Raw genomic sequence first — 14686 nt, 5'->3', positions numbered from 1 at the left:
TGGATAGAGGTGATTCATAAATAAATGAGCTTATGGGCCACATCTTCATTATGTAATATACTTACACATTTTTTCCCATTTGCAACATGACTGAAATATCAGTCATTGGAAAACTCATGCTTTATGAGAGCTTCAAGAAGACCAATCGCCATCTCCCTGGGTAAGTGCTTTCACAGGGGGACACTGTTGTCCAGATCATTTGAGTCTTGTCACACTGGGGCAGTGCAGGCAGCCACATATGGGGTCTATGAGCTCTGATTTCTACTGTGATCTTTAGGTTACCTTACTGAAAGGAGTTTGGAGTCAGAATTGGGATGTTCTGCCTTTGAAGAATTCTAAAAAGCTTTATTTCCCTGTCCAGATGGACAGAACAAAACCCAAGGAAATGAGTTTTGATAACACCCTATATGGTAACAGAGAAATAAGTTTTAGTTCATCCATAAACGTTTGGGTAAAGAACACCATACTGGATCCTGGAAAAGAGGGTGAAAAGGATAGTGCTCCAGAAGAAAATGAATCAATGGTTTCTGTTTTCACGGTGTCAGAAGAACGTAAGACTGAAGTGACAATCAGATATCACCTGGCACAAGTTCAGCCCTGTGGGCTGTTCCATCCAACCTGCAGGTCTCCTCTCCCTTGAAGACCTTTGCCTCTGCTCCATCCTCTTACCTGATCTAACATGTGGGCCTCCTCTCCTACAAGAACCTACATCATTAATTTTATTTTTTATGTACTTTTTTTGAGATGGAGTCTTACTCTGTTGCCTAGGCTGGAGTGCAGTGGTGCCATCTTGGCTCACTGCAACCTCCACCTTCTGGGTTCAAGTGATTCTCGTGCTTCATCCTCTTGAGAAGCTGGGATTACAGGTGTGCACCACTAAGCCCAGCTAATTTTTTTATTTTTTATTTTTAGTAGAGATGGGGTTTCATCACGTTGGCCAGGCTGGCCTTGAACTCCTGGCCTAAAGTGATCCACCCACCTCAGCCTCCCGAAGTGCTGGGATTACAGGTGTAAGCCACTGCACCCGGCCTAAGGACCTACATCTTTATTCCACCCACCTGCTCTATCCAATACACAGGTCTCATTTCCCATGAAGACCTACAACTCTTCTCCATCCATCTGCTCTTCCCAGTGGATGGGCCTCCTCTCCTACCAGTACTTTCACTTCTGCTCCATCCACCTCCCCCACTGTCCCTATAGCACTCTCAGGCTATAACGAGATCCACCCTTAACCCTTCCTGCTTCTCCCATTCTACGTTCTCTTCTTAATTCCTTCTCTACTGAGGCTGGGCTTCCCATACTGATGGCACCCTCAGCTCTCTTGCCCCTCGTTATAAGAGCACACCCCCTCTCCTCAATGATGACATTCTTCTCTCTCCACTCCTGAATGGGAGCCGCCAGTTCCACTTAGAGAAATCTTGCCAGGTGTGGTGGTTCATGCCTGTAATCCTAGTGCTTTGGGAGGCAGAGGCAGAGCCAGGAGGATCGCTTGAGGCCAAGAGTTCAAGACCAGCCTGGGCAACACAGCGAGATCCCATCCCTACAAAAATTAAAAAAATTAGCCAGGCATGGTGGGACATACCTGTAGTCCCAGCTACTTGGGAGGCTGGGGTGGAAGGATTGCTTGAGCCCAGGAGCTCAAGGCCGTAGTGAACAAAGACTGTGCCACTGCACTCCAGCCTGGGTGACACAGTGAGACCCTGACTCTAGGGAAAAGAGACAGAGAGAGAGAGAGAGAGAGGGAGAGAGAGAGAAACTTCACAACTATGAAGTTGTAGTTTCCAGTCTTGGTTGGGCCATGATCATTCCCAACTATTTATTCCTTGTCCATCACCAATTTCTGCTTCTATACACCATAGTGGAAGCAGTGCTCTGCCACTCCCCTCGAGCATGCTCTGCAGCCCCAGCCTCCTCGTTGCTTCCCTCAAAAGACCATGCCTCCTACATGCATTACAGCACCATTCAACAAGGCCTTCTCCAACCTCCATTCTCCACTTGGCTTCTCCCACCCTTAGCTGTGTCTGTTTTTTACCTTTACTGACCCCAAAGGAAGCCGGTTCTCTTCTCCTTTAATTGTGCTGAATTCTGCCCTTCCTACTACCTCCCAAGATCTCATTCCCTCTTGAGTGGATCGCCACATGACACTTCTCCAGGGGTTCCATTCTTTATAGACCTGCTTCTACTTCTTTTCTGAGAATGGACTCTCCTGACCCTGGCTTTGCCCCTCTACTACTCTCTCATTTTTTTCCCTTCACTTTCAAACATCATAAAAGCCTACACTCACTTGATTTCACTTCTCCACCTACAACTCACTACTCACTGCACCCACTGTCTCTGGCTTCAGCAGCACCGGCCAGTTGGCTGAGACTGCTAAGTTCCTTGGCGCATTGCTCAAATGCTGCAACTTCTTTCTGACGTTCCAGGACTCCCCCTGCAGCCCTCCCACAACTTAGATTAATGGTTTCATCCTTAACTTCCTTTAGAATTTAGGTTGAGCCATAGGAAATTGCTGTTATGGAGTTCTAAAAGGATTGAATTTTGGCAATTTTCTGTGGCTCAGCCTAATTCCCTTTTCACACTTCTTTTGTAACTAATTTCACTTTATTGCAAATGTTTGCAAATGTGGTTATCTCCTTCATCAGACTCTTAGTGCAGGGATTCTGCTTTCTTTATTTGCACTTTGCCAGTGCCTACAGCATAAAAGATGCTTGCTGAGCACCAGCTGGGTGAATGCCCCTTTCAGAAGGAGGGGCGCAGGGACAGTGCTCAGGCTGGCCTGGCGAGAACACTGCAGGGATGAAGAGCACTGATCTGGCTGCAGGATGCTGGGGAGGAGGAAGATCCCAGCCCTTCTGCGGTAGAGCCCTGATTTGTACCTGTGGTGTTTCAGACTGGTGTGAGTGATGCTGCTTCTGTGACCCGGAGCCATGGCTGTCTGCCTTGCTTTTGGTGATCACCACGCTCCCACGAACACTCTTTCCAGGTTTAATTTCTGGGGCCACCAGAGTCATCTCGGAGGCTAACTTGCCCAAAGTGTCAGTGCTCAGTCGTCCTTGCCCTATGACGTTTTGACCCACAGCTGCCTCCTGGGCTATAAGGAGAGGGTGAATTTTTATTAAAAGTCACCTTAGAATCACAAAAAATGACAGTGGGGATGGCACTCTGAAGTCCGTTCTGTCCAATAGACATATAATGTGAACCACATATGTATGTAATTTAAACATTTCTAGTTGCCACATTAAAAAGGTAAAAATTAATTTTAGGGACATATTTTAACCCAATATACACAAAATGTGATCATTTTAACATGTAATGTATAAAAATTGCTACTGTGTTATTTCCAAGTCTTTTCTTTATATCACATCTTCAGGGTTCCCATGGGTGCTGTACATTCACCGCACACCTCTGTTTGGACCAGCTGGGTTCATGTGCTCAGCAGCCCCTAGGGCCAGTGGCTACTGTATGGCACAGGCAGGTTCGGGTTCACTGCCACCACTTCATTCCAGCCTACCAACTCCACAGTGACAACAGATGCAGGAGAGATGTGAGGGCCTAACCCCTCCATTGCAAAGGCTCTATCCAAAGACCCCAGGGACCTCCCAACTGGGAAATTCAGCCACCTTCTACTCAGGGCTCATTCTATTTGGGCTTCTGGCAGTCTCTAATTCTGTTCATTTCTTGATTCAATGAATCCTTTATGAATCTTTATTATGTGTCAACTATGCCAGGCATTCTTCCAGGTGCTGGGACTACAGTGGGGAAAATTAACACAAGCCCCTGCCTCCAGAGCTTACATGGGGTTGGGGCAGACAATAAAGGAGGTAGATCAGTATTAGGTTAGCTAGACAAGTGGGCTGTGAGATTAGGCCAGCAGGAAGGCTCCCTGTCCAGCAGGGCTCTGAGGGACGTGAAACTCCTCCTCGCTTCTCCCTTTCCTAAGGCTCTGGGGCCCTTTCCTTGACTTCTCTGACAGTCCCTGTGGCCCTGGCTCTGCTGTCTCTACTTCCCGGCTTCCCCATGACCCCTCCTGAAATGTAGGTGTTCCCCATGGTCCTAACCTGCCTCGTCCAGCAAACATTCCTCCTGGCTCATTCTGGGCTTTTCTGGCTGCTTCATCTACCCTAGTGGTTTCATGGAGAAAGACTCTCCCAGCTGTGTCTCTAGCTTGATGTTATTTTCTCAGACCAGGAACTCAAATTCACCCTTAGGCACAGGACATAAACATGGCTCCACAGATCACTATGAAATGTAGACTATTTCACAGAAAAGGAAATAAAAAATTTAAGAGAACCAGCATTAGGGCATAGCCAGAGGTTCTCACTAAAGAGCTATTTCTCTTATCTTCCCAGCAAAGAATCTTCCATTTCCCTAAGTGTCCCACGCAGAGGTATTGAGGGGAGGGGACAACCCTGAAAGTCCCAGCCAGTTTTATCAACTAGCAGGCTGGAAGCATTCTTGGGATGACGTCATGCCATGGGCACTGACATAGGAATGCTTCCCCTCTGAGCAGGCGCTCTGCTTGGTGTTTAGTATATTTTCCCATCAAGCAGCTGCTCGCCTGCCCTGAAGGTCCTCAAATAACCTGATGGAGCCAGAATTCTCAACTTTTTGTAGGAAGGCCACACCAGACCTCCCCACTATGCGATTCCAAAACTCAATTCAGGCTAGGCACAGTGGCTCAATCTTGTAATCCCAGCACTTTGGGAGGATTGCTTGAGGCCAGGAGTTTGAGACCAGCCTGGACAACATAGCGAGACCCTAAAAATTAGCCAGGCATGGTGGTGCATGTCTGTAATCCCAGCTACTCTGGAGGCGAATGTGGGAGGATCGCTTGAGCCCAGGAGGCTGCAGTGAGCTATGATGGTGCCACTGTACTCCAGCTTGGGTGACAGAGAGATACCTTGTCTCAAAAAAAAAAAAAAAAGAAAAGAAAGAAAGAAAGAAAGAAAGAAAGAAAGAAAGAAAGAAAGAAAGAAAACAACCCCCCTCCCCCAAACCCAACCCAATTTATTTTCTTCTCCAGCAAACTTTTTCTTCCTCCTGTGTTCCCTATCTAGGTACATGACATCACTCTCTCCTGGTTTCTGTGGCTAGGAAGCTGGGCGTGGCCATCTTGAATCCCTCTTACTCCTTCAATTCTCCACCATGCAGGTGGCTGTCGGGTTGGCCGGCCCAGGCCCATTTGTCTGCAGCTTCACTATCGCTTCCTTTACATGATAGTCAAGGGCTACCTTCCTATTGTGATTTTCTGATCATTTCTCCATAGTGTGAAACTGTCCCAATAGCTCTTTTCCTTGAACATAAAACTCAAATTCCTCATCTTGGCATTCAAGGTGAACAATGATTGGCCTCAACCTGCCTTCCCACCCCTAATTTATGACCAGTTTCCCTGCTTTTTTGGTCTGGAATATCCTTGTCCCCATCTTTGCCTACTAATATTCTCTTGCTTCTTCAAACCCATTTCCTTGAAAACTTCCCACATCACCCTTGTTGGAACCCATTCATCCCAAAGTCGCTCTTTCAAAGAAGCTGGTATTTCTGTTGCAAAATTATTTTCCTCTGCTCTGAGTGACCGCATGTCTGCTTCCCTCACCAGATGTCAGACTACCAAAGGTGTGGGCTGTGTCTTATTCATTGTCCTGGTCCCCACAGTGGCAAGAGCACGCTGGCATTGGGCAGGGCAGGAGACCCAGGAATGCTTCGTGAAGAGAATTCTCCTCTGGGCTATGAAGTTGGCAGCATGCTGTAGGGCAGACTTCAACCAGGCTGTGGGAGGAGAGCTCAGTGGGGCACAGAGAAGATGGGTGTTGTCAGTGGGGGTGTTGGTGACTTGACCACAAAAACCCAAGAGAATGGGCTCTTACCAGCCTCCTCTCCTTCCTTCATGGACTGCTCTATGGCAGCCCTGATGCAGAGCTCACAGGCCCGGATCCCTGGGATGTTGTTGCTGTTGGCCACAGCTTCCAGCACAATGGAGTCGATGCTCAGGCAGGCTGCGTTGTAGTACTTGGCCACGCTAACGGCATTGGCTGACTTTCCTATTAAAAAGACCAGGGGGTTGAATTTCACGGTGCTCATTTGCTCAGTGTCCCAGAGAGAAAAGGTCTCAAGAGCAGAGGTCCCTGCAAAGTGATCTCTCTGAGTGCTCTGCCTCCTTCCCATGTGGCTGGAGGTGTTAGCAGCAAAGAGAAGGAAGACCTCAGCCTGGAGTCAGGGCTGTGGGTCTGATTCTAACCCTGCCACTGATGCGTGCGTGCTGTGGCAATCTGCATCCTCGCTGGGTTTTCCCTCAGTTTAAAAAACAGATTCTTTTTTTCTTTTTTTTTTGAGATGGAGTCTCACTCTGTCACCCAGGCTGGAGTGCAGTGGCGAGATCTCAGCTCACTGTAACCTCCGCCTCCTGGTTTCAAGTGATTCTCCTGCCTCAGCCTCCCAAGTAGCTGGGATTACAGGCACCCACCACCATATCTGGTTAATTTTTTGTATTTTTAGTAGAGATGGGGTTTCACCATGTTGGCCAGGCTGGTCTCGAACTCCTAACCTCAAATGATCCACCTGCCTTGGCCTCCCAAAGTGCTGGGATTACAGGTGTCAGCCACTGCACAGGGTCTGTTTAAGAAACAGGTTCTATCAGATGATCTTTAAAATACTTTGTAGTTCCTCCTGTCTCTGATTCTAATAGGAAAACTTTTTATTTTAAAGAATAACTTGTGTTGATTTCTTTTCTCATTTCAAGGTACTTTCATTACAAAAAAAAAAAGCAGACAATTCAGATATAACAGACAAGAGAAAAGAAAAAAAATCCATCATCCACTCATTCAGGGATAGTACAGTTAGTTAGCCTATGGTCGCTAAGTACACATGTAACTGTATTTCTTATAAAAAAAGAAATAGGTTATGTGGTAGGCTGAATAATGGCTCCTCCAAAGATTTCCACCTGCAAATATGTTACCTTTTAGGGTAAAAGAGACTTTGCAGATGTGATTAATTTACAGATCTTGATATGGGGGGTTAGCCTGGATTATCCAACCGGGCGCAATGGGTCCCCATGAGAGGAGAGCAGGAGGGTTGGAGTCAGAGCAGGTCAATCAACCATGGAAGTAGCAGGAGAGACTGGGAGATGCTATGCTGATGGCTGGGAAGGAGGAAGAAGGGGCCAGGAACCAAGGGTTGCAGGCAACATTTCTAGAAGCTAGAAGAGATAAGGAAACGGATTGTCCCCCAGATCCTCCAAGAAGGAACACAGTCATGCTCACCCATTTTAGACTTCTGTCCTCCAGACCTATGGGAGTATAAATTTGCATTATGTGAAGCCATGAAGTCTGTGGTCACTTGTTATAGTAGCAACGGGGCACTAATACTAACTACACACCGTGAGTATGGCACCCTTTCTCATGTAAAATGATATATCATGAACAACTTTCCATTAATTCAATACACTTGTATGACACTGTTTTTATTTTGGTAAAATATACATAACAGTTGTCACTTAAATCATTTATAAGTATATGGTTTAGTGGTTCTAAGTACATTCACACTGCTGTGCCCCCATCACCACCATCCACCTCCAGAACGTTGTCATCTTCCCGAACTGAAACTCTGTACCCAGTAAACTATAACTCCCCAGTACCCACCACCCTCCCAGCCCCTTGGAAACCATCATTCTGTTTCTCTTTCTAGCTCTATGAATTTGACCAGTCTGGGTACCTCATCTAAGCGGAGTCATACAGTGTTTGTCCTTTTGTGACTGTCCTATTTCACCTTGCATAAGGTCCTCAAGGTTCTTCCGTGTTGTAGCATGTGTCAGAATTTCCTTCCTATATATTTTTTTTTTTTGAGATGGAGTCTCGCCCTGTAGCCCAGGCTGGAGTGCAATGGCACGATCTTGGCTCACTGCAACCTCCGCCTCCCGGGTTCAAATGATTCTCCTGCCTCAGCCTCCTAAGTAGCTGGGATTACAGGCGCCTGCTACCACGCCCGGCTAATTTTTGTATTTTTAGTAGAGACAGGGTTTCACCATGTTGGCCAGGCTGGTCTTGAACTCCTGACTTCATGATCTACCCACCTCAGCCTCCCAAAGTGCTGGGATTACAGGCGTGAGCCACCACACCCTGTCCATTTCCTTCCTTGTCAAGGCTGAATAGCATTGCATCATACCATATTTTGTTTTTTCCATTCAGCCACTGATGGCCATTTGGATTGTTTCCACCTTTTGGCTATTGTGATTAATGCTGCTATGAACATGGGTGTACAAGACACTGTTTTTAATGGCAATAAAATTCACCATATAAATGTACTGTGGCCTGATTAACCAGTTCCCCATATTGAATGTTGTAATTGCTCCCGAGTTTCTATTACAGCATACAGTGCTGCAGTGAACATTCAAGCAGTTCATCTTGTCCACATCATTAATTATTTTTCCTAAGAAAATTTTAGAAGTAACATTGTCAGGTCAGAGTCTGCACATATATTTCTTTCTCTTTTTAAATAATTTAATGTCTGGGATTTTTTTCTCTAATATTTTAATATTTTTAAATTACGGAAAGAATACAATTCAAACAATTCAGAGATGTATACGTTCCAAATGAGGTGTCTTCCCTCTCCTTCTTAATCCCCTCTCTGAGGTCAGCAATTTAATAGTTTGGGGATAATCCTTAATGATATGGATTATAAACAAAAGAGTCTCTTATTGCCTTCAAAAGTTGTATGTTCTAACTTCACCATAAACAAAAGGGGAAAAATAACTTATATTGATCAGTCTGATTTTGACATAGGCTGTTAAGCTGTTCTTCATGAAGATTCTGTGAAAGCTGTAAGGTTCCATAAAAATGTCAGGCTTGTTATTACTGTAGCTCACACTCTAATAGGCTTTTCACCTGCAGATGAGAAGTGACTGAGCCTCCACTAGAACAGGGCTGGTGGCTCTTTCCAGGTCAGTGCCTTTTTGGTGTTAACTCTCCAGCTGTCTGCAGTTTCTATGGATCCATCAACCATCCTTCTGACATTCCTTTTAGTGCAACACTAAAATGGCCTGAGCCTCTGCAGGTGTGTTTGTGTAGGGGGTCTTCAAAACATTTCCAGTTATGTTCTTACTTGCCTCGTTTGATTTCTGCCTCTTGCCCACACATCTGGCCTTCTACTTTTTAGGTCCTGATTTACAACTTCTCAAGGAAAGGTTCTTCAAAGGAAGGGGTAATGAATTGTGACATTTTTAGATTCCTGGACCTCTCAGTGATTAGAATATCAAAAATGCTCCATAAATGTTGTCTGTATGAATGATAGTAATTGGGTCAGAACAAGATTTCATGGCCCTTCGTCAAGTAAGCTGAAGCTAAGAGAGGTGGCAGGGCATCCTCCCAATATCCCTCTGCTCTGCCGCTTTCTAACTGGGTGACCTTGGGCAGATGTCCTTGAATTTCTCTGAACCTTAGCTTCCCATAAGGTAGGGGAAATCAAATTCTCTTTTCTGAGTGGTTACGAAGTTTAGATAGACAAATGGATGGGAAGGAGCTCTGTGAACTGCAAATTACTATACAAACAAGATTTTTTTTTTCCCAATGTAGGTGATTCTGCTCCTTTGGGTTTATGGTAAAGTTAGCACATGTAATTTTGGAGGTAATAAAGGATTCTCGTTAAAAAATCCTTTCTTTATCAAGGGCTCATCCCTTGACTGGTTTATGGTTAGGAAAATATTCCTTGAGAATATTTAGCATGTGATGGAAGTTTCTTTTCAAAGAGGATTCACACTGCAGGTATGGTTATAATTGTGAATGCCAACAGTCATCATAGTAATAACAATGATAACATCAACAGCTTTTCGTTTGAGTATTTACTATGTGCCAAGTATTGAGATAAGCATTTTATATAAATGTTCTCATTAAATTCTCATGACTACCCTATAAAATAGACAGCGTTAATACCACTTTACGGACAGGGAAACTGAGCACAGACAATTTAGTTAATTTTCCCAAAGGCACACAGCTATTAATGTATATTCACTACCCTATGCAGTTCCTCAAATAAAGTCATTAGTATTTGCCATGACCACACAGCTGATGTTGCCACTCTGGAAGCCGCAGAGTTTACAGAGAAGACATGGCACTGCTGGTCTTAACCTCCCCTCAGAACTGTTGCCTACCTGACAAGGGTGTCCCGTGAATGATAATGGCGATGCCTTTCCGGTTCTTGGCCAGGCGGCCTTCTGCAGAAATGTCAATGCCCAGGTGGCGAGCGATTGCTTTGCTCACTGGGTTGTTTTCCACCTCTCCAACTTCCTCCATGGAGTGGCTGTCAATGCTCTGAAGCTTGTCAGCTGCAAATTTAAAATATATGTGTGTGCACACATGGCATGCATGCTACACAGCCGGAATTTACATGGGTACTGATGGAAATGGGAATGGATATTTCTTTTTAAATGCTGTTTTTTTTAAATGGCAAATATTGCAGCAGTCCCCACTTGTAGTGTACGAGAAGGCCCTTTTGGGCTAATAATTTGTTTATAGCTACTAAAATAAAAAAACAGATTTTTTGACTCCACTTTCATTTTGGGGAATCTCTCTTGCTGAAAAGTAGAAAGGACATTTGTGTGGAGAGGAGGATGGCTTACAGTGCAAAATATTAGAAACTAGTGAAATCTGCAGCATTAAGGGAAATGGCTGAATAAATGATGGTAAATTCATATTATAGAACCAATACACAGCAGCTATTAAAATGATGACTTCGGTATCACAGACTAGTCAACTATAGCCCACAGGCCAAATCTGTCCTGCTGCTTGTTTTCGTAAATCAAGTTGTATTGGAACATAGCCACGTCCTTTGATTACATATTGTCTTTGTCATCACAGCCACCCTCCAAAGGCAGGGTTGAGTAGTTTTGGCAGAGACTGTATAGCCTTCAAAGCCCCAAATATTTACTATCTGGCCTTTTATGGGAAAAGTTTGCCAAACCTTGATTTATCAAATGCATTGGCCTAGAGGAACGTCTAGAAAAAAGCAAGCTGCAGGATCATATGTGTATTAATTGTAGAGTAGTGTGCAGCCAGATACATATAGTCATCCCAAATACATTCAGTGTTTTAATAACAAAACTAGGATGACACTCTGAATTTTGCTCTGTAACTTGCTTTTCACATAATATATCTTGGACATCTTTCCATTTACTTAAATACAGGTCTAGCTCATTCTGCTTTTCTTTTTTTTCTTGAGATGGCATCTCGCTCTGTTGCCAGGCTAGAGTGCAATGGCACAATCTTGGCTCACTGCAACCTCCGCCTCCCGGGTTCAAGTGATTCTCCTGCCTCAGCCTCCCAAGTAGCTGGGACTACAGGCATGTGCCACCATGCCCGGCTAATTTTTTGTATTTTTAGTACAGACAGGGTTTCATCGTGTTAGCCAGGATGGTCTCGAACTCCTGACCTCATGATCCGCCTGCCTTGGCCTCCCAAAGTGCTGGAATTACAGGCTTGAGCCACCTTGCCCGGCCTAGCTCATTCTTTTTAAATAGCTGCTAAATAACTCCCACTGTATGGCTTTGTCACAATTTCACTAGTTCCCTACTAATGGGCATTTAGATGGTTTTCATGTTTTTTCATCCTAAGCATTGTGGTATGCTTTCTTCTACGTGGGATGTCCAGGGTCAGCCCTGGAGGAGCCCAGGCATGGGGAGCAGAGTCAGGGTGTATGGGGTGGGGAGGGCTGCTCGGAGAGACCAGGAACCACTTGGGGGCCCATCAGCATAGCCAGGGTGGATTAAATGTGAGGCATGGAGCCAGAAATTTCTGTCTTTAATCTCAGTTTTGCCATTACATGTTCCTGACTTCATTTACTCACCTGGTTGATGAGGGCTATGAATGATGACTTAGCTCCCTAAAGATCTCCTGAGCCTCACCCATGATTCCTATTCTGGGGGTGGGCACAGGACAAGGTTGCTTATGCCTTATCATGGTTTATGATGACCAGCAAATGGCCCCCATGAACCCAGTTTCACTGAATCTAATTTTCTGAATATGGTTCCAACATCTTGCAAAACTTGGGGAAAATAAATGCCAGAAAATGGGGCCATAATGCTGGGAGGTCAAGAGAAGAGCTCTCTAATGGCCCAACTGGGGGGACACTGGGGAGAATGTCCCCCATCCCCATAATGTTTCTCTAAACACCTCCCAGTCTGCCAGAATCTTAGCAGGAAAGATTCAGGCCTTCATTTAGTCTAGTTGAAACACAAATTACTGTGCCAAGAATGTATTATATGCTAAGCTCATCAGCCAACTCTCAAGCTTGTATCCTACTGTGAGTGGCAGATCAGAGCTTCTCCGGAGGGCAGCTGTGGTGGGCAGGGCAGGATGGGCTAGGAGCCATACTAGGAGGCTTAGAGAAAGTGACAAGGTACTGAATATTGTCTTCCTATTTCTGCTTGGAGAGAACTAGTATCAAAACATTAAAATGCTCGGTTACTTTGGAAAATGATTTTTTCCAGGCTTTCCTCATCCTCCTCTTCCTCTAGGTAGGTTTTGGACTCGACCAACAGGGCGTGCCATTCTTCCAGGTTGGATGTGACAGAGATCCCTCGGCTCAGCGATGTCCTCTTTGTGCTATTGGAGGTTCCCTGATCTGATGAGGTTATATCTTCCTCTTCTGCCAGGTAGCAAAGGATGAAAACACCAGGGGAAGAGTTGGGAGGGGGACAAGGGAGATGGAGGCAGAAAAGGAAAAAAAAGATGAAGAAGAGATTCACCATACGGGCTCCCATCACCCTGGACCATTCAACCCAAATAAACAAGAACTGCAGTCAGTTGGCTATTCCTCAGTCTCTCTGTGCACAGTGTTTCTACATTTTAACATTTGTTTAGCAACTAAAATTATACATTTGCTTAGAAAATGTGGAAAACTCAGAAGAGCCAAAAATGATGGAATTCAGCTACAAAAAGAGTTGGAGATAGACAAAGAAATGGTGACAGAGAAATTGTACCAAATTTTATCATACCAGCACAGGAGAGCTGCAACCTCTCAGATTTTTAATTTTTAATTGTTTGAAACTAAGCTTGGGTTATATTGTACATACTGATGTGTAGCCTGCTTTCCCTTTTAATTTATCATGACCATTTCCTGTGTCATTGTTAGGGACAGCTATCCTTTCGTTGGCCCAACACCTTCCTCATTGATTGCCCATTGTTCTATAGCATTTCAGGGGTGCAGTGGGCTGTGACTGTATGAGGTGATCCCCCTCTACTACAGGGCAAGACATTCCCTTTGTCACACAAGGTAGAAATTGAGCCTGAGGGGTTGCAGCTCTCTCATGAATGGTGGTCCTGTGACTTGGGGCTGTGGGCCTTCCCTGGAAGGAAGGGAAGCAGAGAAGGATGATCTATAGCGTGAGAGCAGAGCGAGTAGACAAAGCTCATCAGAGAGGCACTGGTGAGAAGCAGGGCGTGTGCCTTTCTGGGTTCCCTCTGCACCCACTGATCCTGGCTTAGATCACCTTCCATTGGGCCAGATGGGTAAGGGAGCCCACAATCATGGTGTGTGAGGACAAGGGGAGCACCAAGGCCTTCTCTGCCTTTGGGAGGTCCTTTGTACATTGCAGCCCTTGCTGCCCTGCCTTGGGCTGCTGGGCAGTCTCTCTGATGGTGTGTCTCTCCTCACACTCTCTCCATGACTGTGAGCTCTCAAAGGTAAGGATTCATTGCATTTTCTGATTTTTTTTTCCCCGGCACTTTTTTCACTAATTTTGTTTTCCCACCACTTTAGCTCAGTGCTTGCAACACAGTGGGTCCTTGTGATGGGCTTAATGGTGTCCTTTCCCAATTCATATGTGGAAGTCCTAACACCCGAGTATCTCAGAATGTGACTGCATTTGGAGATAGGACCTTTGAAAAGGTAATTAAGGTAAGATGAGGTCACATGGGTGGGTCCCAATCCAGTAGGACTGGTGTCCTTATGAGGAGAGGAGATTAGGACACAGACACACACAGAAGGAAGACCAGGTGAAGACACAGGGAGAAGACAGCCAACTGCAAGATGGGATTCAGAAGAAAGCAACCCTGCTGCCACTCAGCCTTGGACTTCTAGCCTTCAGATTTGGGAGAAAAGAAACTTCTGTTGGTTAGGCCACCCAGTGTGTGGTACTTGCAATGGCAGCCCTAGCAAACTCAAGGAACGTGACTAGGAGACGGGGTGGGTGGCAGCTGTCTTCTCTCATCTTCTCCTTTTAAGCCAAACTAGTGGTCTCTGATTAGCTTCTATTTCCTGGACAATGAGACAGGTCCAAGGGCAGGAAAAATAACTTCATTCAATCCATTAATGCATTCACTCACATAGCACCCATTTATTGGGCACTATTGGGTCTACTGCTGTTCCATGCACTAGTTTTACACATGGGGAATATTTGATCAATGCCTTTACGGGGACTTCTTGGCTAGTGGTGGAGGCATTGTGAAGAAAATAATTACGTGTATGACTGTTACACAGATGAAAGCAAGTAAAAACAAGGTGGGTACATTTCTAGGATGAGGTTACAGAGAAGCAGGAAAGAGAAGATGCATCCTCATAAGTGACACAGTCCCACAAGTCAGCGAGGAACCTTTATGGCCAAGCACACAAGAGCCCCTGGGCAGATGATGGGATAACTCAGGGGTGGTGGGCCAGAAAGGGCACAATTCTGAGAGCACAGGACAGCTCTGCGATTGGAGTT

At 45.3% G+C, this 14686-nt stretch overlaps 1 pseudogene across 1 annotated transcript in view; it reads right to left on the bottom strand.

Annotated features, from left to right (window-relative positions):
* HYDIN2 (HYDIN axonemal central pair apparatus protein 2 (pseudogene)) overlaps nucleotides 1-14686 on the bottom strand; it is a 335703-nt pseudogene that overhangs the window by 54115 nt on the left and 266902 nt on the right. Inside the window, exons 41-43 of the transcript NR_103556.2 lie at nucleotides 12451-12630; nucleotides 10139-10312; nucleotides 5865-6038 (exon numbers count right to left, since the gene is read on the bottom strand). The product of NR_103556.2 is annotated as an HYDIN axonemal central pair apparatus protein 2 (pseudogene) (transcript). The remainder of the gene's footprint in view (nucleotides 1-5864; nucleotides 6039-10138; nucleotides 10313-12450; nucleotides 12631-14686) is intronic.

Source organism: Homo sapiens, chromosome 1 (genome assembly GCF_000001405.40).
Source record: "Homo sapiens chromosome 1, GRCh38.p14 Primary Assembly".
NCBI lineage: Eukaryota > Metazoa > Chordata > Mammalia > Primates > Hominidae > Homo > Homo sapiens.
Note: the sequence above shows the minus strand (reverse complement) of the source record. Positions and strands in the feature narration are given on the sequence as shown.